Here is an 11,333-nt window from a genome sequence, read left to right as displayed (position 1 = left end):
CTTTAATAATGAAATAAATAACCACGATGACTTCACAACATGGATACAAGACTGACTTAGTCAAATTGCTGGCAATTTCTTCCCTTTAGGGATGCTACAACCAGGAATTTACTTGATTGCATAATCTGAATAGTAAAAACTATTCTGATTAGTCTTATTTACTTAGTACTCTCTGCACTAACTTAAAAAGCAACATATTTCTCAATCCTATCATTTTATTTAAAAATATTTCCTTGGCCAGGCGCGGTGGCTCACGCCTGTAATCCCAGCACTTTGGGAGGCCGAGGCAGGCGGATCACGAGGTCAGGAGATCGAGACCATCCTGGCTAACACAGTGAAATCCTGTCTCGACTAAAAATACAAAAAATTAGTCTGGTGTGGTGGCAGGCGCCTGTAGTCCCAGCTACTGGGGAGGCTGAGGCAGAAGAATGGCATGAACCCGGGAGGCGGAGCTTGCAGTGAGCCGAGATCGCACCACTGCACTCCAGCCTGGGCAATAGAGCGAGACTCCGTTTCAAAAAAAAAAAAAAAGAAACATCAAAATATTCTGCAAAACTGGTTTTTCTAAAACTAAGTCATAGCTCTTACTTGTCACAGAAAAAATCAGAACTTGCAATTCAGATGAGACATATTTGAGAAGGCACCTCTTAAAAGACTAGTTACCAGCAAAATAAATTCAACATTAACATATATTTCACATGTCTGAGGGGTTTCTGCTAACGTAATGTCATAAGGATAAACTATAAAAGTATAAGCATTGAATGGCAGCCATGTAACTCTGGTCCATGGCTAAGGAATGAATTATACTTGATTGAAAACATTTGTTTCCTCAAAGGGTAAATCCACATCCTATGTAGACTCTGGAACAGCCCAAATTCTTGAGCCTAGAGACTACCTTGGAAATAGACTATCAATCTCATGTTGTATCAGAAGCAAATGCTTCAATACTAAACTCCATGTGCTATACAAAAATTTGGGCACAAAAAATTATCATAATATGCAACATCCTCACTAGAAGTGAGGAACCACATATAACTGCATACTATCCATTGCATTATGTTGGTTATCAAGCTAAGAGCACACTACCTCAAATAAGGCACACAACAAAATTGATTAATTTAAAAGTTCAAATCCCAGCACTTTGGGAGGCTGAGGCAGGTGGATCACAAGGTCAGGAAATCGAGACAATCCTGGCTAACACGGTGAAACCCTGTCTCTACTAAAAATACAAAAACAAAATTAGCAGGGCGTGGTGGCGGGCGCCTGTAGTCCCAGCTACTCAGGAGCCTGAGGCAGGAGAATGGCATGAACCTGGGAGGTGGAGCTTGCAGTGAGCTGAGATGGCACCACTGCACTCCAGCCTGGGTGACAGAGAGAGAATCCGTCTCAAAAAAAAAAAAAAGTTCAAAAAAGGCTATGTAAAAAAAGATAATCTGTTAAATGTGAATTTCTGGACATAAAAACTTAAAATGTAGACAAATTCTTCTTCTAACTAATAAGTCAGAGTTGGTATCACAGATGAAATGATAGACTATTTAAGGCTACAGTTATTACTGGTTGGTCATCTTAGAGATGACATACTGACTTACAGCTAGGAGTCCGTATGATAAACAATAAGAACTTTTTATTTTGACAAGTCAATTGTTGCTTGGTTTTAAAGAATAAAATAATACATAATAGGGAGTGAATATTGCCCTCCACTTATATTAAGGAAAAGACCAAAAGATAATGCCAGTCTCCTAATTATAACTTTATAGTTTTTCAGTTTAGTAAAGGTATAATAACTTGTTCTGAGTGGCTTCTGGTAGAGAACATGTCTCATAACTGTCTTAATTTTGCTGGATCAAACAGTAAATGATCCAATTAACCAAACACTTGACTAGGGTTATTCTCTCTGCTTCAGAGAAAAAAACGCATGACACAAAAAAAATGATTTAAAATAATTTCAGTTTCTCTATGTAATAAATACTCCCAAGAATTACTGTTGAATAAAAAGAAGTTTTAAGTGTTTTATAAGGTAAGTGCTAAACCTGACTCCTTCTAATTTATTTGAACTCCTCCAAGATAAATTAAGTTTAAAACAGAACAATTCATAAAATTTATGTCTTCCCAAATTATAATCTAAAATCATTAAAACAAACAAACAAAAAACCCCAAACCTTCATCAGTTTAAAATTGTTTAAAATAAAAGTGATAGAAGGAAGGAAAAATTACCCTCCATCAAAAGGTAGTGGGAAGAAAAGCTGCATTTTCATCTATAATTCTAAAAACCTAGTTCGAAGAAACTAGGTTTTACTGAGAAGAGTTTTGAGAGGAATGAGTACTAATCAATACCAAATACAGTTTTTCCTCTTGTTGGAATAAATGCTCCTCTCAAAATACCATAGGGCACTACTCCTAAGTTTTTATTGAAAACAAACAAAAAAAACCCAAGCTTCAGAAACTGCTTCTGAGCTTGTTTTAACACTCGGTTTTCCTTTTAACCTTGTAAAGACATCGTTATTTCCAAACTAACAATTTTATTTATCTCTTTTAGAGAATAATAACACGTTATATCTAACACTGATATGCTGATTAAAAAACATTATTTTCCTCCTCTTCATAGGCTACAGCAGGAAATGTATTTTCTGAGAACGTCTTAAAAATCATTTACCCATCTACTGAATAAAGGAGGAGATTATACTGGACTGCCACTTATGAGAAAGAATCACATTAATCTTCCACTAAATCCTCCTTTCTAGCTTCTCACAAGGCAGTGAAGTATTGAAAGAGGATACTTGCTCACATGGACAAAGATCGGATGAGAGACTTTAGTAGAATCCTTCTAATGCTAGTATAAGGTTGCTTAATTTATTTCCTTCAGTAAGAATAGTAATAAAAATATACATATAGCCCACTTTGCTATTTGTGAACAGTCATGTATGTTCTTTCCCAAAAGATATTTATCCAAAATTACAGTTTCCCATTTCAAAAGCAACTTGAATCTGAAAATATTGCAAAGATGGAAGTGCTATAAAATGACAGTGAAGAATTACAAGCAACCAATTCATTATTCAATCAAGAATTTGGCACAATCATAAGCCATGTACCATCTACTTTAATGGATCTTAATTCCCCTGCTATCAACTGAAATTCCAAATCCCAAATTGAACAATGACTAGTTCCAAAACCTGATTTTTTCAATTTTTCTGCCTGAAAACACTATTACAAAGGAAGGCAGCAAATACTGTACCACTCTTGACATATGAGACTTGTATGTTCTACAAACTAATATACAACTTTCCCTAAACCATTATAAAACCTTTTATCCATTTCCAGGTAAGATAAACATTAATGCCTCTCTACATGTGCATTATAATAGAAGTAAAATATGTAGGTTTCCAAAACTGTTAGATATCCAAATCCCAGTAACTACTCTTAGCAATTGCTCCATTATTAAGAGCAATGCTCGAGAATAGAATATTATCTATCTGGACTTTTAAAATCAGTTTCAAGTAAGACAAACTTTCTAGTCCATAATATTTGTATTTCTAAAAACTGTCAATTATTAAGTACATAGAACTGAACTGTCATAGCTATAGACTAGAAAGGACCTTTCTTTACGACCTGCTTTTTTAACCACATGGTAGCACTGTCTATCAATCATTATCTTTATTTTGTTCCAAGATATATAGCTAATACAGTTTTTTTTGTTTGTTTTTTGAGATAGGGTCTTGCTCTGTTGCCCAGGCTGAAGTACAGTGGCACGATCACGACTCACAGCAGCCTCGACCTCCTGGGCTCAATGGATCCTCTCACCTCAGCCTCCAGAGTAGCTAGGATTACAGGCACATGCCTCCATACCCAGCTAATTTTTGTATTTTTTATAGAGACAGGGTTTCGCCATGTTGCCCAGACTGGTCTCAAACTCCTGGGCTCAAGTGATCTGCCTGCCTCAGCTTCTTAAAGTGCTGGGATTACAGATGTGAGCCACCGCACCTGGCTCACTATAGTTTTGTGTAGTGAATTTAGATTATAGTCATTGGGTGAACATCCTAAGAATTTTTTTAAATGAGTAAAAGGACAAGTTTCACTGATTTCTGCAAGGATGAAGGAAAATTCCATACTTGCTTTTCAATAGCACAAGTAGGTCTTCTGTGTCACTTTCTATCAGGGGCATATCGAATTGTAATAAAAACTGTATCAGATTACACCAACTATTTATGGCGGAAATGTTGGAAATCAACATTTCCATTGTAATGAAATTATAAACTTAGTATTTTGATACATTTGTACATCACTTCTTATTAATGAAATTTAAGATAGATTTACATGTAAGTATTTGCAGTGTGGAAAAGTAGATGGAGCATCAAGAAAACAAAATATGCACACATCTAATCAAAAGCTTTATGAGTGTACTAAATCTGTGTTCTATAGAGGGGAGATATTATTGAAGGGGCAGAGTTGGTCAATACAGACTGAACACGACCTCTCTGAGATCTTTTGTTGAAAATAAATACAAATCCAAACTACTTTTATAACTTCTGTAATTTTTTAAAAAATCTAATTTGGGGCCGGGCATGGTGGCTCATGCCAGCAATCTCTACACTTTGGGAGGCCTAAACTGGAGGATCGCTTGAGTCCAGGAGTTCAAGACCAGCCTGGGGAACACAGGGAGATCCCATCTCTACAAAAGTTTAAAAAAAAATTAGCCAGGTATAGTGGTGTGTGCCTATGGTCCCAGCTATTCAGGAAGCTGAGGTGGTAGGATCACCTGCATCCAGGAGATTGAGAGGCTGCGTTGAGCTGTGATTGTGCCACTGCACTCCAGCCTGGATGAGAAAGTGAGACCCTGTCTCAGAAAGGAAAAATCTAATTTGGCATTCATATTTTTTTTCATAAAATTAGAGGCAATAATGGTGAATTAGAATTATGTCATTCAAGACTTGAACAAGAAATGACATGAACTACAATTCTTTAATAACACTTTTTGTGGCTGGGCATGGTGGCTCACGACTGTAATCCCAGCAATTTGGGAGGCCGGGGCGGGCGGATCACCTGAGGTCAGGAGTTCGAGACGAGCCTGGCCAACACGGCAAAATCCCATCTTCACTAAAAATACAAAAAAATCTGCTGGGCTTGGTGGTGGTCGCCTATAATCCCAGCTACTCGGGAGGCTGAGGCAAGAGAATTGCTTGAATCCGGGAGTCAGAGGTTGCAGCGCATCGAGATCGCGCCATTGCACTCCAGCCTGGGAGACAGAGTAGGATTCCATCTTAAAAAAACAAACAAAAAACCACACTTTTTGTGGGGGGAATAGTGAAGCTCATCAAAGACAGAGGGAAAATAAAACTATTTAAGACAAGCAGGGGATGGAATTTTCCTTCATCCTTACACAAATCAGTAAAACTTGTCCTTTTATTCATTTTAAAAAATTCTTAGGATGTTCACCCAATGACTGTAATCCAAAATCATTACACAAGGATAAATCATAATACAAAATGAAAACACTTGAAATTTCAAAAGCTCCTCATTAAGAACAGTCTGAAATTAATGAAAATATATATGGAAACATCTGTGTTTTATTTTTCAATTAGTGAACTTCTGGTCATTTAAAAAAAAAAAAAAACACCCTAGCTTCCTGTTCTTTTATGTATTAATTCATAGGCAAAACCATAAGGCTCTGCAAGTTCTTTTACTTCTTAATATCTGGGGTATCTTAATTTGAAACTCCTTTCCTCTGCCTTTGAATGATGGAATATTTTAGAAACAAGTACCAGAACACACTGGAATGTCACCACTCAGTGCTCAGATGTTACTTTAGTATAACAAATACTATTTACTCCAAAAACTTATCTCCAATCCTCCTCTACTTAATAATCCTTTAATGTTTTAAATATTATTGCCACCTCGTCATTTTAGCTAACATGGTGTTAATACTATATACTCTAGCTCCCTAACCATAATATCGTATTCCCAAAGTTCTAGTGAATTAGGGCCTCTAATGTAAGGATTTCAACTGTTACTAATCACTTCTGCCTTACCACTACCAAAGTAACTTGCCACAAGTCCAAGAATGCTTATTCCAGGACCCTACTTCCTTTTGAATCCTCTCCCTACCCAGGAGTAGTCTAGCAATCAAGATCAAAGGACCTATACTAAGTCTAGCAATCTAACTGACAAGTAAGTGCAGCTACTTGAAAATTACAAAAATTACCACATCAGCTGGTGAATTAGGTGGTCATATAGCTGTACTTCATGAAAGTGGGAAGCTGCCAGACAGAAAGAGTGTCTTAGAAAGTAAAACTTTATGAGTGTATGGAATAAACAGCACTGGGAATGATATATATATGTGAGTAAATAATGTATATATTTTTTCTCATTTTAAAGTTCTTTAAAGCATTAATAGTGGTTGTCTTGAGATGATGGGAAAATGAGAGACTCTTCATCATTTTACATTTCTGTACCTTACAAATTCCAAGATAAACATAGACTACTTGCTCGATATGATTCCTTTGCCTCAACAGATTCTTCCTCCACACTGCTCTGGATATCAGGAAGCTGACCTATATGGGTCACATCAAAAACTCCCTTGTCCTCAAGATTCTACTTGGGTATAGCTAATAGAAGTATTAAAATTTCAGGAGTTTGAAGAAAGAAAAAAAAAGAGAGGCTAGAGTACATTCCCTTGACTTCCTCCCTGCTGGGAAAAGTTGAATTAAGAATTATTCATAGACAGTTGTAGTTTAAACAATAAACCAAATGCCGAGAGAGACGTAGAAATTTCCATACTGACAGAACTAAATACATAAATAAAATTACTTAGCATTATCTTGTCTTAAAAAAAATCTTAATAATATATTTTTTAAGGAGGGGAGAAAATAAAAATTCTTTTTAGCTTATTACACATAGTATATTCCTTAATTTAAGCTATAGCTTAGATAATATTATGAAACAAAGTATAGCCTAGTAGCAGCACATTCTATGAATTGATGAAGTTGAATTACCTATATTTAAATTTTGGGGTCTTTGATATTTAGCCATTACTTTTAATTTCAATAAATGTCTCAATTTAAATTAAATATCACTTCAATTAATCATAAAATATCTTACCCAAAAATAACTTAAGACACATAACAGTCAATAAAAGGCAAAGTCATCTGAAGCTACCAATCAAAGTACTATCTTACCTTGGCTTACAATCATATAGCCATCTAGACCAAGAAATAGGTTTGATAGCAATATACTTACTCAAAGAAATAGTAACTGCACTTAAAGGATGACTGTACAACACTACCTTTTCATATAGAACTGGGTAAAAACCACAAATATAATACAACTAAAAATGAAGATTAGTTGTAACATATCACAATCAACTATGTAGTAGAATTTGAAAAATATAAATACATAAACATATATGTATGTATGTATATATATATATTTTTTCTTTTACCTGTTTTGCAATTTCTCTTAAACAGGCTACTCCTTGTTCAAAATTAGGGAAAGCTACTGAGCCATACTTTTGGTATTCAGGGACTGGTCTGATTTTTATTGTAGCTTCTGTTATTACACCAAGAGTTCCTGAAAAAAAGAAGGGGGAATAATCCAGTACATCACATGACAATTTTCTAAATCATATTTAAATCTATTTAATCTATTAATTCAATTTATTATGCACATTTAAATTTATCAAGTCTACCTGGGGAATAATGGCTACTCAAGTCATTCTAGAAAAAATTATAAAATTAAGCAAATTTTACAATTTCTCAAAAAAGCTTTAGGAATACGCTTTAATTAGTCATGTACAAATATTTTTCAACATTTTAAAGTAAACTTTCTCCAAGAAGGTTACTTTTAAATGGCTTTTAAAGTATTACAACTTATTAAAATAAAAAAATTGAAAAACAATGGATTCTTATGTCTCATATGTATTCAGACAAAAGCGTATTTTGATATTTGTGCTTATTTTTAGTCTTAAAAACAATTTATTGGGCAAAAAAACCCTAACCTTCAATGAGAATCTAAGATGATAGAAGAAATCTGAGGAAATATTATCTTGCTTTTTTTCCTAAGAATTAATAGAGAGAAAAGATAAAGGCATTACTGAGATGCCCTTTTAAGAAACAAAAAATACCAGATGGAGACAAAGTAGTCATTATAAATATCTAACATAAGATGACCACCAATAAAAGAAATGCTCTTTAAAAAGAAAAAATAAAAACACACACACAAATTAAAAAACAAAAAAACAAAACAAAACAAAAAGTAAAAAAAGATTAAAAAAAGAAATGCTCTTTTCTTTATTATAAGAGGGACTAATTAGAGAGGAAAAAATAAGTTAAACTATTATATTCACAAAGCCAAGCTTTTCAAATGAATGGTTTCTGATGTACAAATATTAGAAATTAATAACTTTATTAGTAAATTTTCTGAGCATCATTTTTAAAAAAGAGTAAAGACGGGGAGAAATCCTTGAAACTGCACATCTTCATAACGCAAGAAATTTAAAAGTTTCGCAAAAACCAAAGCTTCCAGTAAGTTTACAATATAATTAAAACAACTTGTCAATATATAACACAGGATTAAAAACTATGACAAGTCTATGAAAAGCAAATTACATTAGATCACAATATATTCACCACATATACACATGATTTCCTACTGAGGTTATAAAATAACTTATGACTTGTATGATCATAAAAGCTCTGCAAGTTTGGCTTGATAAATATTTTAATACAAAATAGATATGTCTTACAAAATTTAAAAGATAACAAAAGTGACTAAACGTTCTCTTTTGTTTTAGCATCTTTACTGAGACATAATTTAGACTACAAAATTCACCCATTTAAAGTGTAAAATACAATTTATTTTTTATTTATTTTTAAATTTTTAAATTTATATATATATACTTTTATTATACTTTAAGTTCTAGGGTACATGTGCACAACGTGCAGGTTTGTTATATATGTATACGTGTGCCATGTTGGTGTGCTGCACCCATTAACTCATCATTTACATTAGGTATATCTCCTAATGCTATCCCTCCCCACTTCCCCCCGCCACAACAGGCCCCAGTGTATGATGTTCCCCTTCCTGTGTCCAAGTGTTCTCATTGTTCAACTCCCACCTATGAGTGAGAACATGTGGTGTTTGGCTTTTTTGTCCTTGCCATAGTTTGCTGAGAATGATGGTTTCTAGCTTCATCCATGTCCCTACAAAGGACATGAACTCATCATTTTTTATGGCTGCATAGTATTCCATGGTGTATATGTGCCACATTTTCTTAATCCAGTCTATCATTGATGGACATTTGGGTTGGTTCCAAGTCTTTGCTATTGTGAATAGTGCTGCACTAAACATACGTGTGCATGTGTCTTTATAGCAGCACGATTTATAATCCTTTGGGTATATACCCAGTAATGGGATTGCTGGGTCAAATGGTATTTTTTTAAAATTTTTGAGATGGAGTTTCGCTCTTGTTGCCCAGGCTGGAGTGCAATGACATGATCTCGGCTCACCACAACCTGTGCCTCCTGGGTTCAAGTAAATTCTCCTGCCTCAGCCTCCTGAGTAGCTGGATTACAGACATGCGCCACCATGCCTGGCTAATTTTGTATTTTTAGTAGAGACGGGGTTTCTCCATGTTGGTCAGGCTGGTCTCGAACTCCCGACCTCAGGTGATCTACCCGCCTTGGCCTCCCAAAGTGCTGGGATTATAGGCATGAGCCACTGCACCCGGCCCCAAAATACAATGTTTTGCGTTATATTCACAGACATGTGCAACTGTCATTACAATCTAAGTTTAGAACATTTTCATCATCCCAAAAAAGAAACCATATCCACTAAACAAACCCTCTCCATTTCTACTCCCACACCCTAGCCATAGGCAACCACAAATCTATTTTCTGTCTATACAGACTTGCCTATTCTGGACATTTCATGTAAAAGGAATCTCATAATATCTGGCCTTCTGACTGGCTTATTTCACTTACCAAAATGTTTTCAAGGTTCATCCATGCTATAGCATGTATTAATATTTCATTACTTTTTAATTCCCAAATATTATTCCATTGTATAGTATAACTCACTTCGTTTATCTGCTCATCAGTTGATGAACATATGGGATTCTACTTTTTGGCTACTATTAATAATGCTGCAATTAACATACATGTACAATTTTTTTCTGGACACATGTTTTCCTTTCTCTTGAATATATATCTAAAGACTTTCTTAATTTCAGAAAAAATTTTGATCCTATTCCATATAATATCCTGATCCCAGCTACCTTTTCCCAAGGCTAAGTTCCAGGTGAGTGCAGCTGGGAGGTAGTGCTCCCCTGTAGCTCCGGGCCCCAACTGTGGGACAAAAGCTCTACCTTGAGTGTAGCACACTAAAACTGGGGTTTCAATCCCCTTGTCCTGGCTCATAAAGGGCTGGTTTCTTGCCAGGAGAAGCAAACCTAGATAACCTAATTTCCTTCCCCACCTTCTCCCAGCATTCAGCTCCTAAAGCAGAGGTGTTACTTAGATAGAAACATGCCATTGTCCCCACCCCTAACTCCTGAGCCGTGGTTCAGAGATTCTCTCTGGGGAGAGAAACAGGCCATAAGACAGATAGCTCCTAATCTCTTTCCAATGGAAATGACTTTATTTGCAACAGAGCATGGTGAAGTCCAAGTCCAAGGACATTCTCAAAAACAGTGAATGATGTGGTAAAAAGGTAATTGGGAAGACACAGGTAGATTCACTAGAGATATAGCCTAAAATGTAGGCCATCTAGTTTGCCTGGGAGACAATGGGGAGGACCCCTCTTGCGCTCCCCCTAAAAATCCCAAACACTAATCTCCAGAACTATCCCTTCTAAAGTGTCTGAATTTGATTGGATTATTCTGGATTATTCTGATGACAATGTCACATCATTAAAGATTATAAATGAAGATAAACTATTAAGAAGAATCAAATAGAAATTCTGGAGTTGAAAAGCAAAATAATTGAAATGAACAATTCACTACAAGGGCTTAACAACAGATGGTCTCTGGCAAAAGAATGAATATGAAACTTGAAGATAGATGTATAGAGATTATGCAACATGAAGAACAGAGAAAACAATGGATGGTGCCTCAGAGAAATGCAGGAAACCATTAAGCACACCAATTTACGTGTAATGGGAGTACTGGAAGAAAAACAGAGAAAGGAGCAGAAAAAATTATTCAAAGAAAGAATGGCTGAAAACTTCCTAAATTTATTAAAAACCAATAACCTATACATCAAGGGAGCTCAACAAATTTCAAACAGGAGCAACACAAAGATATCCACAAACAGACACATCGTAGTAGGAATGCTAAAAGTCAAAGG

At 35.3% G+C, this 11,333-nt stretch overlaps 1 protein-coding gene across 4 annotated transcripts in view; it reads right to left on the bottom strand.

Moving 5' to 3' along the window:
- AGPS (alkylglycerone phosphate synthase) overlaps positions 1 to 11,333 on the bottom strand; it is a 151,062-nt gene that overhangs the window by 54,216 nt on the left and 85,513 nt on the right. For 3 of the 4 annotated variants that reach the window (NM_003659.4, XM_011512041.3, XM_047446104.1), the window contains exon 11: positions 7,433 to 7,560. In NM_003659.4, coding sequence (NP_003650.1) covers positions 7,433 to 7,560 — 128 coding nt within the window. Of the gene's footprint in view, positions 1 to 7,432; positions 7,561 to 11,333 lie in introns of those variants that run through there. The other variant, XM_047446105.1, reaches the window with a different exon arrangement.

Source organism: Homo sapiens, chromosome 2 (genome assembly GCF_000001405.40).
Source record: "Homo sapiens chromosome 2, GRCh38.p14 Primary Assembly".
Lineage (NCBI taxonomy): Eukaryota > Metazoa > Chordata > Mammalia > Primates > Hominidae > Homo > Homo sapiens.
This window is presented reverse-complemented; position numbering and strand designations above follow the sequence as displayed.